Source organism: Homo sapiens, chromosome 13, assembly GCF_000001405.40.
Source record: "Homo sapiens chromosome 13, GRCh38.p14 Primary Assembly".
NCBI classification, from domain to species: domain Eukaryota; kingdom Metazoa; phylum Chordata; class Mammalia; order Primates; family Hominidae; genus Homo; species Homo sapiens.
In genome coordinates, this window is record NC_000013.11 from 41,795,942 (window position 1) to 41,818,313 (window position 22,372).

The following is a 22,372-nucleotide window of genomic DNA, read 5'->3' on the forward strand; positions in this document are numbered from 1 at the left end:
CAGAAGTTGATGGAAAGAAAAATAAAGAAAAAAATAAATAAAATGCATCTAAAAATGATTCATTCTAGGATCACAATAATGTTACCTTGATAGTAAAAGGTATGATTACTATAAAATTGTTCATAATTTGAAATTACTCATAATTGCTCATGATTTGTTAATATTTTACTCAGAATGTTTGCATCCACTCCATGAGCATTTGTAATTGCATAATTTATAATTTTCCTTTCATAAATTATTCTTATCTGCTTTAGGTGTCTAGGTTATACTAGACTCAAAGTGAATTTCTATGTTTTCACCATTTCTCTATTCTTTGGAAGTTTATTTAAGGCAGGGATTCTAAATTTCTTGACAATTTGGTACAATTTGACAATAAAACCACTCAGGAATGGTCTTTTTTAATGAAATTTTTTAACTACCAACTTTATTCCTTTAATGGTTATGGGTCGATTTGAATTTTCTATTCATTCTTGACCAATTTAGGTAATACACATGATTCCAGAAAATTGTCTTTTTTAGTACAGTTTTCATAAATATTGACTTTATTTTCAGTTATGCTTTTTCCTTTCCAAAATTAAATTACTTATTTGTTCTTCCTCTCTTTTACACTAATTAAATTTACCAAGGCTTTATCTATTAATATTTTCAAAGAACTACCTTTTGGTTGGACTAATCTTTTCTATGATTATTTTGTTTGTTAGTTCATGAATTTATGCCGTTAACTTCATTATTCCATTCCATCTACTTTCTTTGGGTTTAGTCTGTAACTTTTTACTAACTTAAGTTGAATGCCTGGCTCACAAATTTTCTTTCTCTATTATTTTCAAGTGTGTGAGTTTAAAACTTAAAAAAAAAAAAAAGTTACCTTAGGTGTATCATTAAAGTACTGAAATTCAGTTTTGGTCATAGAGTTGTTAATATTTCACAATTTTCATTCTAATTTCTTCTTTTGATGTCTGATTTAAATTTTCCAACTAAATAGGCTTTTAAGTGTATTTTTTGTTATTGCTATGAATTCTGTTGCTTCTTGGTTGGAGAATGTGATCTTCATGACAAATATTCTTTGCTATTTACTGAAAAACCGATTTTTTTCTTTTTTTCTTTTTTGAGACAGAGTCTTGCTCTGTCATCCAGGCTAGAGTGTAATGGTGTGATCTTGGCTCACTGCAACCTCCACTGCCCGGGTTCAAGTGATTCTCCTGCATCAGCCTCCCAGGCAGCTGGGATTACAGGCACGTGCCACCACACCCAAGTATTTTTTTTTTTTTTTTGGTATTTTTAGTAGACACAGGGTTTCACCGTCTTGGCCAAGCTGGTCTTGAACTTCTGACCTCATGATCCACCCACCTCGGCCTCCCAAAGTGCTGGGATTACAGGCATAAGCCACCACACCTGGACAAAACTGATTTTTTATCTAGTTTATGGTCAGTTTTTGATACATGGTACAAATGTCTCATGTGTGCTTGAAAAGAATGCATATTCATTGTCCACTGGGTATAAAGTCCATTATATCAAGTTTGTTAATGGTTTTGGTAAATCTCTATCTTTACTAACTCTTAGAATATATGATCTGTCAGTTTCTGAAAAAAGTGAGTTTTGAAAACTCTCATTATAACTGTTGATTTGTCAATTTCTCCTGTCTTCAATTCTGATTGTTTCTGTCATACAGTGTTCCTTCTTAGGTATAAATGGCTAAGGAGTATTAAATCTACTAAATGAATTTTTTGTTCATCTTCTTCATCCCCAATCATGCTTTTGGCCTTGAAGTATATTAATAGTAATATATTTCTTCCCTTTTGGTTAGTATTTGCCTGTTCTTCTTTTTACACCTTCACCTCTGATCTTTCTATATTATCTTTTAAATGTGACTCTTGTAGCAACATATAATTGGTTTTTGTCTTTTAAAATCTTAATCAGAATCTCTAACTGTTATCTGGAAAGTTTAATCTTGTGTAATATTTGTGCTCACTTCTAACATTATTTCATGTTTACTCTTTATTTTTTCTTTCATTTCCACCTATGTTGTGCTGACAGGTATAACATTCCTATTTGCTTATCTCTACCACCACTGGATTTATTGATTTATTTCCTTTTTTATTTGTGGTTACTCAAAATTTACACACACATACTTGAACTAATGAAGTCTAAAATTATTCAATACTTCTATTCTCTTCTTAAACAACAGAACCTAAGAATGCATTAATCTCTTTTTCCAGTTTCTATAAGTTTTTAGCTTCACCCTGTTGTTAAATACTTCCCTATATTGGTATTCATTTTTATTGCTTTGTTTTTCACAATACATTTAAATTTAACAATATATTTGCCTATTTCCTTTCTCACCGTAGTTTCCTGCATGCCAGTCTTTTTCTCTGCATTCAGTCTCCTGCTTACTGAAATATATCCTTTAGTAGTTCTTTAAGTAGTGCTGAAAAAACTACTAAACGTAGTAAGCTCAGTCTTTAGCTGAAAATGTATTCCGCTAGGCAAAGACTTCTGGCATTGATAGTTATTTTCTCTCAACACTTTCAGGATACTATCCAATCCTGGAATCTACTATTGCTGATGTAAAGTTGTCGGCTTGATATTTTTTCTCTTGTATCTTTTTCCGTTATAAGTTTTTCTCTTTGTCTTTAATGCTGTGCAGTATCATCACAATGTATGTAGGTGTTGATTTGTTTTTATTTGTCCTACTTGGGAACTGATATATTTCTTCAATCTGTAGACTCATGTCTTTCTGCTTTCTGTTCTGGAATTCTCCTAACCATTGCCTCTTTGAACAATTATTCTCCCTCAGTCTCTTTATTCTCTCCTCTTAAATTCCTATTAGACATATGTTGGATTTTCTTATCTTATTCTACATGTCTATTAACAACCCTTTCAGGTTTCCTATCTCTTCACTTTGCTGTGCTGCATCCCAGGCTATTTTCCCTCCACTTCATTCTCTTTTCAATAGTCTAATTTACTAATTAAGTGCTTATTGAATTTTGTTTGATGGTTTGCCCATTTGTTTGTTTTCTTTCAATGACTATATTCTTCAATTGAAAAAGTTCTGTTTGTTTGATTTTTCTTTCAGATCTATCAGTTCATTTTCTCCTCTATCACAGTCATCCAGTTTTTAATTCCTCGTAAGTTTTAATAACCTTAAACATACTTATTTGATAGTCTCAAATTGTTCTATTATTTTTAGTTCTTGAAGTTCTATTTCTTCTAAATGTTGTATCTGCCAAATCTCTTATGGTTTTTTCCCCCTAGATATGGTTTATTACTTTTTACAATGACCAAATATTCAGATAGGATATTTAGTGTACTGATCTTGTAAAAGTATTTGCCACAGATTGGTTTTCAAGGTTGGTGTTTTCTACTAAGCCTCCAAGTAACTAAATGATCCCGGATAAGTTTTTCATGTTAACTTAGTACTTTTTGGTTACTACCTTTACAGACGGCATCAACATGGACCCTCACACCTGCACCTGAGCAATGTGGGGCATTTGATTCCTCATGGTGACAGTTTCTTTCCCACCCCAAGCTCCAGGGAGACAGTAAGCTTTCTCATCATTTCTCTGGGCTTGTGGGCAAACATTTTTTAGTCTATGGGAACAGGGAGCACTTCCAGACTCTATTCTTCATGCAGGAATCTTAATTAAAACCTCTCCACCTCACATATGCCTGCAGCCACGTCCGTTGTCCCCAAACAGATATTAAAATCCAGCATTAGACCACTTAGCCCTATTCCTATTTGAAAGCCTCTTTGGCAGCCATGATATCATTATTATTCTCCTTATTCTGGTATTGCTTTTTACTTCATTTCTTCTTCTTTTTAAGTATTAGCTCTATTGAGATATAATTCAGATATCACACAATTCACCTATTTAAAGTATACAATTCAATGGTTTCTAGTATATTCACAGAGCTGTGCAACCATCACCACAAGCAATTTTAGAACATTTTTCTTACCTAAAAAAGATCCCCCGTACCCACTAGCAGTCACCCTCCCTTTCTACCCCCAAGTCTACCTGGCTTCAGGCTACTACCAATCTACTTTCTGTCTCTATGGATTTGCTCTATTCTGGATATTTCATGTAAATAGAGCCAAACAATATGTGGTCCTATGTATCTGGCTTCTTTCACTTAACATATTTTCAGGGTTCATCCACGTTATAACATGTATCAATACTTCATTTCTTTTTGTTGCTAACATTTCATTGTATGGATAAAACACACTTTATCTGTTGAGCAGTTGATAGTCATTTGTTTCCAGTTTTTCACTATTATGAATATTATTGCTATGAACATTCATGTAGAAGTTTTTGTGTGGACCTGTTTTTGTTTCTCTTGGATAGATTCCTAGGAGTGGAACTGTAACCCTAGTCCTGTTTCATTTCTGATACCTCTGATATGCTCTTCCTTTTGAGTTTGGATAAGAGTTAACAATTACTTATTATATTTTATTCAGAATTTCCAGGTTGAGTAGTGTATGGGGAGGACATCTAGCTCATTCTATTTTGTTCATGTATATCACTAGCTTTTCTATGGCCTTTATTTTCACACATTTAAAAAATATTTGTGGCCAGGCATGCTGGCTCACACCTGTAATTCTAGCACTTTGGGAGGCTGAGGCAGGAGGATCATGAAGTCAGGAGATTGAAACCATCCTGGCTAACACAGTGAAACACCGTCTCTACTAAAAATACAAAAAAAAAAATCAGCCGGGTGTGGTGATGGGTGCCTGTAGTCCCAGCTACTCGGGAGGCTGAGGCAGGAGAATGGCATGAACCTGGGAGGCAGAGCTTGTAGTGAGCTGAGATGGCGCCACTGCACTCCAGTCTGGGTGACAGAGCGAGACTCCATCTCCAAAAAAAAAAAAAAAAACACCGTGTTTTAGAAGAGATCCATTAAATTTCCCACTCCAAATAGCAGAGGAAATATAAAATCACACAAAAATTATTTCTTGTCAATATTGTCTTAAAAATCTATCCTAGGGAGATAATAAAATATATGACAGAAATGCGTCCCTTAATTTTTCTGACCTTTATTAAAAATGTTCTCATGTTTTCTTTGTAGACTGAATTAGTAATAAATTGTAACTGAATTGGTAATAAACACTGCTAGCTTTCAATATTCTCATATGCTTTATATTTCTCCAAACTTTGGTATTTTTAATTTCTTAGATCAACTCTTATTATTTATTTTTAGTTTTTCAATTTATTTTTATTTATTTTTTTAATAAAGGAAATTAAAAGTTGATTCAACTACCAGGGCATATCTAACAGTCTGCAGAATGCTTTGAAAGTCCAAAATTTTTATATTTAATAAAAGAATCAATATTCTTATTTCCTATACTTATTCATTCTTCAAATAATTACTCTGAAGACACTAAAGAGGAATTTCATTTTAGCTGGATACACACAAGAACAAATTCAAGTTGCAACACAAGGAGCTTAATTTAACTACAAGAAAAACTGTCCACTAAACTGAGAGGTTATAGAGGGTAATAAAGATTCTGCTAAACTGAAAATAGATTCTCCTTTAATTCCTTTTATCAAGAAATGAATGGACAACAAGCATAGTCACCATAAAAATAATTACTAGATCATATGAAAAGAGACGAAATCTTTGGGCTTACTGGAAATTGTTCTTAATCTTTTCTTACTATTCTTTAAAATAGCTTCATGTAAATTTAATTCTGTAAGAAAATTCTACAAGCCAATGTTTTATAATCACTAACCAACTGGTATGAAAACAATTAGTACAGACTGAAAAAATGTTAGTTTTGTCGAATTTAGATATTGAGCAGTGCTGTCAAAAATGAAAAGTTCCAATGCAAATTTTAGAGGCAATAAGTGTAATAGTGCTAAAGAGCCCTAGCTCAGAAGACATATGAACCAGTATTCAAATCCCAAACCCACTTTTTATAATTATGTGACTTGAGTGACTTAAACAATTTTCTCATTTATAAAATACCTCTGAAAATTATTGAATGTCTAAATAAGATAATATATTAATGGAATGAAAGTAGACCAAGATGGCTGAATAGAACCCTCCAGTAATTGTCCTCCCCTCCACAGGAACACCAAATTAACAACTATCCACATAAGAAAGCACCTTCATAAGAACCAAAAACCAGGTGAGCAATCACAGTACCTGGTTTCAACATCATATGAAGGAAGGAGGCACTGAAGGGAGTAGGAAAGACAGTCTTGAATTGCCTACACCACCTCTTCCCCATCCCCTAGTGGTGCTACATAGCTTGGAGAAAGAATCTGTGTGCTTGGGAGAGAAAGAGCATATTGATTGTGGTATTTTGCATTGGAATTCAGTGCTACCCTGTCACAGTGGAGAGCAACAGGGTAGCATTTTGATCAGCCCTAGCTAGAGGGGAATAATCATTCATCCCAGGGGTCAGAACCTGAATTCTAACTAGCCCCACCACCACAGGCTAAAGTGCTCTGTGTTCTAAATAAACTTGAAAGGCTGTCTAGGCCACAGGAATACAATTCCTGGGCAAGTCCTGGTGCTATGCTGAGTCGGTAGAGTTGGAGTGCATGTGACCCAGTCAGACACCAGTGCGGACAGCCAAGGCAGTGCTTGCACTGTCCCTTCCTCAACTCCAGGCAGCACAGCTTGCAGCTCTGGCAGAGATTCCTTCCACTGAAGGAAAGGAGAGGGGAGAGCAAAGAGGACTTTGTCTTACAATTTGGGTACCAGCTCAGCCAAAGTAAAATAAAGCACTAAACAAATTGCTAAAGTCCCCAATTCCAGGACTTAGCTCCTGGATGACATTTTGACACCCACCCTGGGCCAGAAGGGAACCCACTGCCCTGAAGGGAGATTCCCAGGCCTAGCAGGATGAATCACAACCTGACTAAAGAATAGTTGGGCCATGAATAAACATAAGTGGTAGCCAGACAATACTCACCACAAGCCTTGGGCAAGACCCTGTATTGTGCTGGTTTCAAGTCTGACCCAGCACAATCCCAGTGGTGATGGCCATCCCTCTCCCAACTCCAGACAGCTGAGCATGGAGAGAGAGATTCCATTTGTTTGAGGGAAAGTAAGTGAAGAGAGCAAGAGTCTCTGTCTAGCAGTCCAAGGAATTCTCCTGGTTACCCAAGACCACCAATGTGGTATCTCTATGAGTCTGCAAGAATCACAGCATTACAGGGCATGGAGTGTTCCCTAATGCAGGTATGGCTGCAGTGACCAGAATTAGATCACACACTCAATTCTCTTTGAATACTTGGAAATCTTTCCCAAGAAGGACATGTACAAACAAGCCCAGGCAAGGAAGACTACAATAAATACTCAACTCTTCAATGCCCAGACAACAATGAACATCCACAGGCATCAAGACCATCCAGGAAAACATGACCTTACCAAACAATCAAATAAGGCACCGGTGACCAATCTCAGAGAGACAGAGATATATGACTGTATTAGTCCATTTTCACACTGTTGATAAAGACATACCTGAGACTGGGAAATTTACAAAAGAAAGAGGTTTAATGGACTCACAGTTCCATGTGGGTGGGGAGGCCTCACAATCATGGCAGAAAGTGAAAGCACGTCTCACATGGCAGCAGACAAAAGAAGAGAACTTGTGCAGGGAAACTCCCCTTTATAAAACCACCAGTTCTCATGAGACTTATTCACTATTACAAGAATTGCATGGGAAAGATCCGCCCCCGTGATTAATTATCTCCTACCAGGTCTCTCCCACAATTTGTGGGAATTATGGGAGCTACAATTCAAGATGAGATTTGGGTGGGGACACAGCCAAACCACATCAGTGACCTTAAAGAAAGAATGGAAAATAGCTATTTTGAGGAAGCTCAATGAAATTCAAGATAACACAGAGAAGGAATTCAGAATTCTATCAGATAAATGTAACAAAGAAATTGAAATAATTTTTAAAAATCAAGTAAAAATTCTGGAGCTGAAAAATTCAATTGAAATACTGAAGAATACATCAGTCTGTCAACAGCAAAATTGATCAAGCAAAAGAAACAATTAGTAAGCTTGAAGACAGGCTATTTGAAAACACACAGTCAGAGGAGACAAAAGAATAAAACAATCAAAAAGAATAAAACATGACTACAAGATCTAGAAAATGGCCTAAAAAGGGCAAATCTAATAGTAAATGGCCTTAAAGAGGAGGTAGAGAGAGATCAGGGTAGAAGACTTATTCAAAGGCATAATAACAGAGAACTTCCCAAACCTAGAGAAAGACATCAATATTCCAGTACAACAAGGTTATAGAACACCAGGCAAATTTAACTCAAAAAAGACAACCTCAAGATATCTGAGGTACCTAAAAGCAGGAAGAGAAAAGAAACAAACAACATATAATGGAGCTTCACTAGGTTTGGCAGCTGACTTCTGAGTGGAAACTTTACAGGCCAGTAGAGAGTAGCATGATACATTTAAAGTGCTGAAGGAAAAAGCTTTTATCCTAAAATAGAATAACCAGCAAAAATATCCTTCAAACATGAAGGAGAAATATAGACTTTCCCAGACAAACAAAAGTGGACGGATTTAATAAATGTCACACTTGTCCTACAAGGGAAAAAAAAAGGAATTAAAAAATTAATTTAAAAATTAAAAAAAAATTAATGAGCAGTAAGAAATATCTGAAGCCTCAAAATTCACTGGTAATAGTAAGTATACAGAAAAAGACAGAATGTCATAACATTTATTTGTAGTATGTAAACTACTTATAACTTGAGTATAAAGATTAAAGATGACTGAACAAAAATAATAACTACAACAGCTTCTCAAGACATAGATAGTACAATAAGATATAAGCAGTAACAACAAAAAGTGAAAAAGTGGGTGGACAAAGTTAGAGTGTAGAGTTTTTATTAGTTTTCTCTTTATTTACACAATCAGTATTAAGTTGTCATCAGTTTAAAATAACGAGTTATAAGGCATTATATGCAAGCCTCATGGTAACCTCGAACCAAAAAATCCAAATATACAGCAAATGAAAAGCAAGAAATTAAAACACACCACCTGAGAAAATCACTTTCACTAAAGGAAGACAGAAAGTAAGGCAAGAAGAAAGAGAAGACCATAAAGCAACCTAAAAACAAACAACAAAATGGCAAGAATAATTCCTTACTCATCAATAACATGGAATGTAAATGGACTAAACTTTCCAGTCAAAAGACAGAGTAGCAAAATGGATTTTTAAAAATGAGACTCAATGATCTGTTGTCTTCAAGAAACACACTTCACATATGAAGATACACAGACTGAAAATAAAGGGACAGAAAAAAATATTCCATGCCAAATGAAACAAACAAACAAAAGAAAAACCAGGAGTCACTATAATTATATCAGACAAAATAGACTTCAAGACAAAAACTATAAGAAGAGACTAAGAAGACTGCTATACAATGATAAAAGGGTCAATTCAGCAAGAGCATATAACAATTTTAAATATATATGCACCCAATACTAGAGCACCCAAATATATAAAAGCAAATATTTTTGAGCAAAAGAGAGAGATAAACCCCAATACAATAATAGCTGGAGACTTCAACATTGGACAGATCACCCAGACAGAAAATCAACGAAGAAATATTGGACATGGCTGGGTGCGGTGGCTCATGCCTGTAATCCCAGCACTTTGGGAGGCTGAGATGGGCAGATCACCTGAGGTTGGGAGTTTGAAACTAGTCTGACCAACATGGAGAAACCCCATCTCTACTAAAAATACAAAAATTAGCTGGTCATGGTGGTGCACGCCTGTAATCCCAACTACTTGGGAGGCTGAGGCAGGAGAATCGCTTGAACCTGGGAGGCGGAGGTTGCAGTGAGCCAAGATTGCGCCATTGCACTCCAGCCTAGGTAATAAGAGCAAAACTTCATCTCAAAAAAAAAGAAAAAGAAAAAAAGAAATGTTGGACTTAATCTGCACTACAGACCAAACTGACCTGCCGGTATTTACAGAACATGTGATCCAACGGCTGCAGAATACACATTCTTCTCAGCACATGGATCATTCTCAAGGAGAGACCATATATTAGGCCACAAAACAAGTCTTAAAAAATTCAAAAATAAAAAAAAAAAAAAAAGAAATGATGTCAAGTATCTTCTGTGACCACAATGGAATAAAACTAGAAATCAGTAACTGGAGGAATTTTGGAAACTACACAAATACATGGAAACTAAACAATAGGCTCCTGAATGACCAGTGAGTCAATGAAGAAATTAAGAAGAAAACTGAAAAATTTATTGAAACAAATGAAAATGGAAACACACCAATCCTATAGGATATAGCGAAAACAGTATAATAAAAGAAAAGTCTATAGCCATAAAAGCCTACATCAAAAAAGTAGAAAAACTTCAAATAACCTAACAATGTATCTTGGAAAACTAGAAATGCAGGAGCAAACCAAACCCAAAATTAGTACAAGAAAAGAGATAATAAACATCAGAGCAGAAACAAATAAAATTTAAATTAAACATGCAAAGGATAGGCTGGGCGCAGTGGCTCACGCCTGTAATCCCAGCACTTTGGGAGGCTGAGGCCAGCGGATCACAAGGTCAGGAGATCGAGACCATCCTGGCCAATATGGTGAAACCCCATCTCTACTAAAAATGCAAAAAATTAGCTGGGCATGGTGGCACGTGCCTGTAGTCCCAGCTGCTTGGGAGGCTGAGGCAGAAGAACAGCTTAAATCTGGGAGGCAGAGGTTGCAGTGAGCCAAGATCATGCCACTGCACTCCAGCCTGGGCAACAGAGCAAGCCTCTGTCTCAAAAAAAAGAAAAAAAACTACAAAAATTAGCTGAGTGTGGTGGCACATGCCTGAAATCCCAGCTACTCAGGAGGCAGAGGCAGGAGAATTGCTTGATCCCTGGAAGGGGAGATTGCAGTGAGCTGAGGTCGTGCCACTGCACTCCAGTCTGGCAACAGAGTGAGACTCCATCTCAAAAAAAAAAAAAAGGAAAAGATTAATGAAATGAAAAGTTAGTTTTTTGCAAAGATAAAATTGACAAACCTTTACTCCAACTAAGAAAAAGGAAGATTCAAATAAATAAAATCAGAGATGAAAAAGGAGACGTTAGAACTGTTACCACAGAAATACAAAGGATCATTAGAAGCTACCATGAGAAACTATATGCCAACACATCGGAACACCAAGAAGAAACGGAGAAATTCTTAAACACACACAACCTCTCAAGATTGAACTACGAAGAAATAGAAAATGTGAACAAACCAATAACAAGTAACGAGATTGACACCATAACAAAAAGTCTTCAGCAAAGAAAAGCCTGGGCCCTGATCGCTTGCCTGCTGAATTTGACCAAACATTTATAGAAGAACTAATACCAATCCTACTGAAACCATTCTGAAAAATAGAGGAGGAGGGAATATTTCCAAACTTGTTCTACAAGGCCACTATTACCCTGATACCAAAACCAGAGAAGACACATCAAAAAAAAAGAAAACTACAGGCCAATATCCTTGACAAATGTTGATGCAAAAATCCTCAATAAAATAGTAGCAAGCCAAACTCAACAACACATTATAAAGATCATTCATCATGACCAAGCGGGATTTATGCCAGGGATGCCAGCATGGTTAAACACATGCATATCAGTCAATGTGATGCATCATATCAACAGAAGGTAAAACAAAAACCATGTGATCACTTCAATTGATGCTGAAAAAGAATTTTATAAAATTCAACATCCCTTCATGATGAAAACCCTCCAAATGATGAGGATAGCTGGGCACAGTGGTGCATGCCTGTAGTCCCAGCTACTCAGGACACTGAGGCAAGAGAATGGCTCGAGCCCAGGCGTTCTGGGTTGTAATGCACTATACTGACTGGGTATCTGCACTAAGTTCAGCATCAATATGGTAATCTCCCAGGAGCGGGGAACCACCAGGTTGCCTAAGGAAGAGTGAACTGGCTCAGGTCAGAAAAAGAGCCAGTCAAAACTCCTGTGTCGATCAGCAGGGAGATCGCGCCTGTGAATAGCCACTGCACTACGATCCGTTGTCTACAACAAGCACACTTCACATATGATGATACATAGACTGAAAATAAAGGGACAGAAAAAAATATTCCATGTCAAATGAAACAAACCAACAAACAAAAAACAGGAGTCACTATACTTATATCAGACAAAATAGACTTCAAGACAAAAACTATACAGCCTGGCAACAAAGTGAGACTCCATATTTAAAATCACTAACAAAATAAAAATAAACTTTTTTAAAAAAACACTGAGTATAGAAGGAACATACCTCAACACAATGAAAGCCATATATGACAGACCTACAGCTAGTATCATACTTGTGTTAGTCCGTTTTTGTACGACTATAAAGAAATATCTGAGACTGAGTAATTCATAAAGAAAAGAACTTTAATTGGCTCATGGTGCTGTACAGGACACATGACGCTGGCATTTTCTTGTCTTATGGGGAGGCTTTAGGAAACTTAAAATCATGGCAGAAGGCAACGGGGGAACAAGCACTTCACATTGTCAGAGCAGGAGAAAGAGAGAGAGGCAGGGAGGTACCACAAACTTTTAAACAACCAGATCTCATGAGAACTCACTCACTGTCATGAGACCATCACCAAGGGGAAATCCACCCCCATGATCCAGTCATCTCCCACCAGGCCCCACCTCCAACACTGGGGATTAGAATTAGACACAAGATTTGGGCAGGGACACAGATCCAACCCATATCAATACTGAATCGGAAAAACTGGAAGCCTTTCCTCTAAGATCTGAAACAAGGCAAGGATACACACTTTCACCTCTGTTATCCAACACAGTAGTGGAAAACCTACCTAGAGCAACTGGATACAAGAGAGAAATGAAAAGTACTCAAACTGGAAAGGAAAAAATTACATTATCCTTGTTTGCAGATGATATGAGCTTATACTTGAAAAAAAAACCTAAAGACTCCAACAGAAACCTATTAGAATTGATCAACAAATTCATTAAAGTTGCAGGACACAAAATCAACATACAAAAATCAGTAGCGCTTCTGTATGTCAAAAGTGAACAATGTGAAAAAGAAATAAAAAAAGTAATCCAATTTACAACAGCTACAAATAAAATAATATATATAAGAATAAACTTAACCAAAGAAGGGAAAGACCCCTACAATGAAAACTATAAAACACTGATGGAGGAAATTGAAGAGGATGCTAAAAAATGGAAAGATATTCCATATTTATGGATTGGAACAATCAATGCTGTTAAAATGTCCATACTACCACAAACAATCTACAGATTAAATGCAATCCCTATCAAAATATTAATGACATTCTTTACAGAAATAGAAAAATAATCCTAAAATTTATATGAAACCACAAAGACCCAGAATAGCCAAAGCCATCTTGAGCAAAAAGAACAAAACTGAACCAATCATATTACCTGACTTCAAATTATACTATAGAGCTATGTAACCAAAACAGCATAGTACTAGCATAACAGATACATAGACCAATGGAACAGAATAGAGAACCCAGAAACAAATCCATACACCTACAGTGAACTCATTCTTGACAAATGTGTCAAGACCATACATTGGGGAAAGGAGAGTTTCTTCAATAAATGGTGCTGGGAAAACTGGATATCCATAAGCAGAAGAATGAAAGTAGACCCTATCTCTTGCCATATACAAAAATCAAATCAAAATGGATTAAGAATTAAATCTAAGACCTCAAACTATGAAACTACTAAAAGAAAGCATTGGAAAAACTCTCCAAGACATTGGTCAGGACAAATATTTCTTAAGTAATTCCCCACAAGCATAGGCAACCAAAGCAAAAATGGGACAAATAGGATCACATTGAGTTAAAAAGCTTCTTGGGCAGCAAAGGAAATTGTCAATGAAGTGAAGAGACAACCCACAGAATGGGAAAAAATATTTGCAAATCATCCATCTGACAAGGGATTGATAAAATATATGAATTTAAACAACTCAGTAGGAAAAAGCCTAATAATCTGATTATACAATGCATGAAAGATCTGAATAGAAATTTCTCAAAAGAAGAGATACAAATGGCACACAGGTATATGAAAAGGTACTCAACATCACTGATGACTAGAGAAATGCAAATCAAAACTATAATGAGGTATCACCTCACCCCAATTAAAATGGCTTTTATCCAAAAGATAGGCAATAACAAATACCAGCAAGTAAGTGAAGAAAAGGGAACCCTTGTACACTGTGGGTGGAAATGTAAATTAGTATAACCACTATAGAGAACTATATGGAGTTCCTCAAAAAAAGAAGAAAAAAAAATAACTAGAACAACCATATGACACACCAATCCTAGGTATAGGCTAGGTATATGCCCGGTATATGCCCAACAGAAAGAAAATCCATATATTGAAGAGAGGTCTGTGCTACCATGTTTATTGAAGCACTATTCACAATAGCTAAGATTCGGAGGCAACCTAAGTGTTCATCAACAGACAAATGGATAATGTTGTACACACACACAATAGAGTACTGTTCAGCCATAAAAAAGAATGAATGAAGTTCTGTCATTTGCAACAACATGGATGGAACTACAGCACATTATTTAAACTGAAATAAGCCATGCATAGAAAGACAAACTTCACATGTTTTCACTCATTTCTAAAAGCTAAAAATTAAAACAATAGAATTCACAAAGAGAGACTAGAAGGATGGTTACCAGAGGTGGGAAGGGTAGTGAGAATTGGGGAAGGGAATGGTTAATGGGTACAAAAACATAGATAGAATGAAGATCTAGTATTTGATAGCATAACAAGGTGACTATAGTCAACAATTTATTGTTCATTTTTAAGTAACTAAAAGTATAATTGGAACGTTCATAATGCAAAGAAATGATAAATGCTTAGGGTGATAGATATGGCATTCACCCTGTTGTGATTATTACATATTCTATGCCTGTATCAAAGTATCTCATGTACCCCATAAATATATACTGACCATGTACCCATACAAATTAAGGATAAAAATTTATTTTATTTTATTTTATTTTTAATAAATAAAAGAGGTTTTATTTTGGCTCATGGTTCTGCAGGCTGTACAGGAAGCATAGTACCAACATCTGCTTCTGGTGATGCTGGGACCAAAAATTAATTTTAAAAGATAATATGTTGTATTAAATAAGTTCTAATCAGTGAAGGCAAGGCTGAAATAGCTCTACATTCAGACCAATATATTTTGAAGAATTGGGAATATGCACCATCAGTTAAACTTATCTTATAGTTTTAGTGAAGATCCAGAAACTTACACGCAGTGAGAAAGAATATGTTTACCTGGAAAGGCAGGCTTTAGTAACAGCACTGTGAAGATTTTCATTAGGATACTGTGACAGCCGACGAGAAATTCGCAACAGTTGTCTGGTAGAAAGTGATGCCGCTAATGATTGTGCCTATCAAAAGACAAATACATTGTGTTAAGAGTCTTGTTTCAACTTGCTAAAGTCCCTTTAGATGGATATCACAGCAGAATTCATTATTACTGAAGGGGTAAGGCCAAACTTAAAGTATGTGCTGTTAATTAATTACAAATCAAAATAAACAGAAACCAATTTACACTTAAAACATCCTTGAAGATAGTTTTTAAAAAATCTAAAGTATTTATCAATTAAATTTAATTAATGTATTTTAATTGTGCTAAGTTGGAGATGGGAGGGGCAATGGGGGAAGGATGTTACATAACAAAGGTCACACTGGACTTAGGCTGTATGATTGACTGTTCACTTTTTCTCCTTACACAAAGCCAAGGTGTTAAGATACCACGGAAATGTTTAAAGCTTTAAGCAAATCGGTGGTTTCTAAAATAGCCAAAAAGAGTTGTAAACAATTTAGGCTGTTGGCCACAGAGGTGTCAACCAATTTGTCACTTGTGCTGCAGCTTGCTGTTTTGAATCCTTCCCCTATGCTGTCAGAATACTTTCACTTTGCTATATTACATTTCCCAAAATTCCACGAATAGAGTTGCTAGTACAGAACTCAGGACATGGTCAGTACTCAATAAATATTTGTTGAAATTCTTTTGGCAGGCAGCATAACATAATGGTAAAGTTTATAGGCTTTTGAATCAGATAAGTCGGTATCCTATTTATTAGCTGTGTTACCTTGGCAAATTACTTAACCTTTCCAAGGCTCAGTTCCCTCAACTTTAAAATGGCAATAGTAATGCCCTCACCTTTAAGGTTGTTATGAAGGTTAAATTAGAAAATGATTCTAAAGTGCTTAGCACATGTCACACACATATGGGTGCTCAACGAATGGCAACAACTGTTATTTAAAAATCAGCCTCTTCAAAATGAAAACAAAAAACCCAGCAGAGAAAGGTGATGGGACCTACATATTAGCATATATTTAGTAAATGAGATTATTACTGGCCTAATTCCTAACTTAGATCAGCAGCATTAGAAGACAGTGATTATCACTGAAAACCACAGGACAGAAGCACTTTTGAAGCAACTGGACCTTTGGGAGGGCAAGGCAGGTCAGTATGAAATGTCACAGAGGGTGATAAGGGCAGTAAAGTGGCCCTGAGAACTCAAGGGCCTAGAAAAGAGGACTCTATGAAATTAACAAAGGGTTCAGAATGGATGAGGGGAGAATGTCAAAGACACACTGCACATTTGCTTGTTTTAATGTTCCACCTAAGGTCATCTCCGTATGTCCCAAAGAAGAAAAAAATAATTTATTTATCCTTCCTTGTGTATTTCACATCTCCATAAGATATTGGTTTGCTGTTAGTATTCTATCTCAGCTACAACATTAGTATTATATTTCCTTTGGGAATTAGGTTGGAAGCATGACCACCACATATCCTTTCTTCTATTAAAAAACACATTCTAAGTTTCAAAGAACTCAATTACAAGCAGACATTGGTCCATTCTTGTTTTCAATTAATTTGCATTCCAGATATGGAGACAATATTCAAATATAATAAATCATAAATTACAATTCAAAATAGTATATACTTCAATGCTAAAATAAGTGGAACAGTAGACAGCTGTTATAGGCAGTTAAAATATTCAAATGGGCATGAGAAATCCTCTCATCAAAGGCATGAAAGCAAAAGTAATGGAACCACAAGTAGAACATGAGGAAATGAGACCAGCTTTACTAGAAGGTCCTGCTGGAAGGCTTGCTCTCAAACAACAAAGACCTATGAATGACACTCTGACGGGTTTGGCTTTATTCTTAAAGGCACTAGGATTCTGCTATGTGTAAAGTCGTAACATGATTTTCAAATCAGGTTATTACTAGCCTACTTCCTAATTTAAATCAGCAGCAGCATAGAAAGTGGATGAAGGACAGAGAGAACTGAGACAGGAAACAGAAAGCTACTTCAATAATCTGCCTATAAAAGGAAAAAGTCCTACAGTAAGGTTATGGCAACAAGAATGGAGAGGTAGGATACAACAAACTTGGCAACTGACTTGCTATGAGAAAGAAACATGTATTGAGGATAAAATTCAGGCAATGTGACTGATATCAAAAGTCAAATATAACTCAGAAATTCCCATTTTTAATACCTAGGACCATGAAAAATTCATATTTTAATCATAAAAAATATTTGACAAATGACTCTAACCAGAGGATTCTTATAAGAGTCCTGTTAAACCATAGGGTATAACATTCTAATCTCATTCTAAGCATGACACTGAATTCAGGCTTCACATTTCATTCCAGTCATCAATAAGGAATGCTCATATATTTGAACACCAATTCTCCAGTTCTTCTAGTTGAAAGCACCAAAATGCTTTGCAGTAATAACCAGGGTTGAGAAAATGAGAGATAAGCTTTGTGTTGAGCCATTTAAGTGTTGAATAAAGGGTTTGGTAATCTCTGCTCTCACATTATTATCAATTAAAAATTGAGAGTATACTTTAAAAATTCCTAATGTATTTAACATTTATATCAAATTTCTAACTGCAGTTTTATCTTGCAAAAAAAAAGGGGGGCGGTGAAGATATGAAGCACATTCCCCTAGTTACCATGGTTATACAGTTTAAGAGTACACCTCGAAGGGGTTGTTCATATTAACATGATTAGTAATACTTCAGCTTAAAAACATAAAGGTTCTCATCAGAAATTATTAAACATTATTTTTCTATTCTTCATTTTTATAAAAGAATGAAAATGTAGCATGTTCTAAAGGAGAGAAAACTCTAGGGACAATCTGTTAATAAAATTTTAATTAATCAATTTATTCATTAATTCACCAAAGATTTAAGTGTCTATTATGTGCCAGGCCGCAGGCTGGGAAATGGGACTTAGTCTCAAGGAGCTCAAATAGCAACTGGGGAAATAAAAGTAAATTATAATACAACTGCAATAGGTCAACAATATATAATACAACTTGCAAATATATGTCAAGTGTCATGAAAGCAGATTGGAGATATTAGTTACTGCTGCCTAAGGGGGCTGAGAGAGACTTAAGAGAAGAGAGAAACTAAGGGACAACTGGATGTAGGGAAAGCACATTCTAGGCATTATCTAAGGCAGAGACATTTGAGTATAAGCGGTATTAGAAAATAGCAAGAAGCTAAGTGTGGGAAGAGCTGAGGATGCTTCAAGAGAGTTTGTAGAAACTGAGGCCTGATGAGCAGCTTAGGGTCAGAGGGAACTCAGCAGGCATGTTTAGCAGGCTGTCTTCAGTCTACAGGCAAAGAGAGTCAATCCCTTAACGGTTTTAAACAAGGGGAAGAACTTAGGAAATGGATTTGGGAAAGATCATTCCAGGGACAATATGGAAGATTCATCCATCCATTTATTTAACAGATACTTGTGGAATACATTACTAATCTCTAACTTTGTTCTCTGTAGTATTGCCAACATTTGCAACTTTGCACAGTAGGAACACTGTGCAAATCAGGAATAGCTACTGTGCAAAGTTCCAGATGCTGGGGAGACTACAGGGAACAAAGAAAAAACCCCTGCAATCCTGGAACTGAAATCCGAGAGAAGGAAGATAGACAACAAAAAATTAGTGAGTAAAACATACATTATGTCAAAGAGTAAGAAGCCCTATAAAGAATCTTAAAGCAGAAAGAGGGATAGAAATAAAATGGAATAGAAATTTGACTCTAGAGAGCTTCAGGAAGGCCTCACAGAAAAGGTGACCACCTGAGCAAATCCCAAAAAGGAAAGTGAGTAAACATGCAGCTATCCAGGGAAGAATAATCTAGGTAGAGGAAAACACCAAGTGGCAAAGGCCCTGAGGCAGGCACTAGTAAGTTCAAGGAAAAACAAAGACACCACTGTAGCTAAAAACAATGGGTAAAGGAGAAAGTATTTGGAATGAGGCCCCAGAGGGGGATTAAGTATTTGGAATGAGGCCCCAGAGGGGACCTGTGACAGCCAGAAAGTGACCACCCTTATCCTCCCAAAAATCCACATCCTAATCTCTGGAAACTGTCAATGTTACTTTCTATGGCAAAATTGACTTTGCAAATAAGATTAAGATAAGGATTTTGAGATGTGGAGATTATGTTGCACTATGTGTGTGGACCCTAAATGTAATCCTCCTTGTAGGAGGGAGAAAGAGGGAGATTTGACACAAACACAGGGGAGAAGGTAATGTAAAGATGAAGGCAGGATTGATATGGTGAGTCCACTAGTCAAGGAATGCTGGCAGCCACCAAAACCCAGAAGGGGCAAGGAATAGATTCTCCCCTGGAGCCTCCGATGGAGTGCAGCCTTGCTGACACTTTGATTCTGGCTCAGTCATACTGATTTCAGACTTTTGTTGTCCAGACAAAGAAAAAATAAATTTCTATTATCTTAAGCCATCAATTTATGGTAACTTGTTACAATAGCAACAGGAAATTACTAGAGAGTCATATGATGAATGAATTATTGGTAAAGAAGGCAGTCAAGAGGATATAATATTCCAGGAGAAAGATTATGAAATCCACTACTAGGACAGTTACTGACAATAGATAAGAGAACAGATGAGACATCAAGATGCTTAACTGGTGAGATTTGTTTTCAGATTAAGTAAAGACAGCAGGAAAGCAAGGAATCAACAATGATGTCTAGGTTTCTAATTTAGGTAATTTGGCAGCTAGATTATCAACAAAGTCAAGAAATTAAATCAAGAATAGGAACAGATTTAAAATGGAAAGACAGTTTAGTTGTACAAGATATGTGAATTTACAATGATCTCGGTGTATCCAGGGGGAAAGTGAAAGAAATTAACATTTAGTAAGCAGTTACTAAGAAGGAGATTCTTTACACACATTTTTATGTTTAATCATTGAGACCATTTTATGCGGTAGATGGTACTGTTCCCGTTCCCATTTTACAGATGAGAACACTGAGACTTACAGAGTTAAACAGTGACAGCCCTCTATCTTTCTAACATGCCATCTGGGAATGGAAATACAAGTCAATCAGAAATGAGAAGTTAGAAGCTGAACATAAAGATGTAGGCATTAACTTGTGATAGGTACTTGAAGCCATAAGAATAGATAACACTGCTCAGCATAGGAGACAGAGGGGACAGAGCAGAACCCCCATGAACATGAAGTACTCTGGAGCTACAAGTTTCTTTCTATAACATCAGCGAGGAGGAGCTGGAAGAGATGTTAAAATCACTGAAATCGGAGTAAACCATATGCATAGAACAAAGGCATAGCATAAGGGATTCCAAAAAATAAAATACCAGCTTAAAAAATAGATTTTAAGTACTGAATTCTAAGAAAAGAAAACCAGCAGCATGTCAACAATAGAAAATCCTGTGGAAAAAGCCTAGACTTACCGTTGGATCCTGTGTTTCTCTGAGTTTGTGTGTAAATGATAATAACTTATCCAGAGCTTCCTGAGGTACATTTGGGACCTATTTTTTGAAAGAGTTGAGGACAAACAGAAGGAATAAATCGGGATATCTGATCAATCAATCAGAAATTATGACTACTTAGCAAATAATATTAGAATTACATTTTTAGAAAAGTCATTCATTGTTGGCTAAATGTTTAACTTATGGATAAAGTTGCTTATTCAACCTCTTAGGAAACACTGAAACCCCTGCTTTCTCTTTAAGAATCAGGTAACTTAAACCAAGACACTCTTCTCCATATACAATTCTATCACCACGATAAAACTGAAGGGAGCCTTTAACTCAATTTAAAACTGGCCCATAGTGTACCCATAAAGAACTTTTCATGTATCATCATTTCCTATTTTGTTAGCTTCAGCATGACATTTTAAGTACTAATTAGGTGTTGTCTTACTGAAACCAAGTTCCCTTATTTAGCAGCAATCTTACATACATATCTAAGTGACATAAGGTACATTTATTTACAGAATGGATACTTAAGGTGTCCATTTTTCCAAAAACATGTAAAACACATATTTGAGGGGTATGATCAACATATCAATGAACTCGGAAGAGCAATTGCCCAAATAACACATATCGATTGCTTTTAACTATAACAAACTTCAATTAAGTACTTAATTAAGCTATAAGCAATTTTTGTTTAAGCAATAACAAATTTAAGGTTTTAATTTTAAAAGATCAAAAAAAGATACTAAAACAATGACTAGGACAGTGTCACAATTTTAGAAGAATACTGCTTAGGGTTTCATTGGTCATTTAAGTAATTAGAATTTTTTTAAATGCTAAGTCCTAGTCCACATATACTTTGTTTCATTTATTCTTTAAATCAATCCTATGATGTAATAAATAGTATTATCCCCATTTTTAGATGAGGAAACTATGACTGAGTAATTTACTCAAGATCTGGAAGCTAATAAGTAGTGGATTTCACATTGAGAGCCAAGTCATTAAACTCTAAAACCTATGCCTTTATTTACAACCATGCTTACAAGACCTACAATTAATAAGTTCATTCAGATGTTTCAAAGGGAATAAATGTATTTAAATAGAAAGTTAATAATTAGTGATCTAGAACAGTACTGTCCAATAGAACCTTCTATGATGATGAGCATTGTATATATGCTGTTTAATGTGGTAGCCAAAAGCTCCCATGTGGATACTGAGTACTTGAAAAGTGACTGAGAAGCGGAATTTTTTTTTTTTTCGAGACGGAGTCTCACTCTGTCACTCAGGCTGGAGTGCAGTGGTGTGATCTCGGCTCACTGCAACCTCCATCTCCCAGGTTCAAGCAGTTCTCCTGTGTCACCCTCCTGAGTAGCTGGGAATACAGGTGTGCACCAATAAGCCCAGCTAGTTTTTTGTATTTTAATAGAGACGAGGTTTCACCATGTTGGCCAGCCTGGTCTCGAACTCCTGACCTCAGGTGATCTGCCCGCCTTGGCCTCCCAAAGTGCTGGGATTACAGGCATGAGCCACCGCACCTGGCCGAATTTTTAAAAAATTAATTTAACATGGTCAGGTGTGGTGGCTCATGCCTG

The 22,372-nt window shown here is 36.1% G+C and overlaps 1 protein-coding gene and 1 pseudogene across 2 annotated transcripts in view, besides 2 other annotated features; one reads left to right on the forward strand and one right to left on the reverse strand.

Moving 5' to 3' along the window:
• Positions 1-22,372, reverse strand: part of VWA8 (von Willebrand factor A domain containing 8) — a 394,275-nt gene that overhangs the window by 229,107 nt on the left and 142,796 nt on the right. For both annotated transcript variants that reach the window (NM_015058.2, NM_001009814.2), the window contains exons 16-17: positions 20,757-20,834; positions 15,284-15,399 (exon numbers count right to left, since the gene is read on the reverse strand). In NM_015058.2, coding sequence (NP_055873.1) covers positions 15,284-15,399; positions 20,757-20,834 — 194 coding nt within the window. The remainder of the gene's footprint in view (positions 1-15,283; positions 15,400-20,756; positions 20,835-22,372) is intronic.
• Positions 6,389-7,588: an enhancer, noted in NCBI's record as "MED14-independent group 3 enhancer chr13:42376466-42377665 (GRCh37/hg19 assembly coordinates)". NCBI's record gives its function as "activates an origin of replication core promoter dependent on BRD2, BRD4, P300/CBP and CDK7 cofactors, and independent of MED14, by STARR-seq in HCT116 cells {active_cell/tissue: HCT116}" and the evidence as "EXISTENCE:reporter gene assay evidence [ECO:0000049][PMID:35650434]".
• RN7SL515P (RNA, 7SL, cytoplasmic 515, pseudogene) lies at positions 11,736-12,001 on the forward strand (annotated as a pseudogene).
• Positions 16,971-17,020: an enhancer, noted in NCBI's record as "active region_7633". NCBI's record gives its function as "activates an Ori minimal core promoter by ATAC-STARR-seq in GM12878 lymphoblastoid cells {active_cell/tissue: GM12878}" and the evidence as "EXISTENCE:reporter gene assay evidence [ECO:0000049][PMID:35858748]".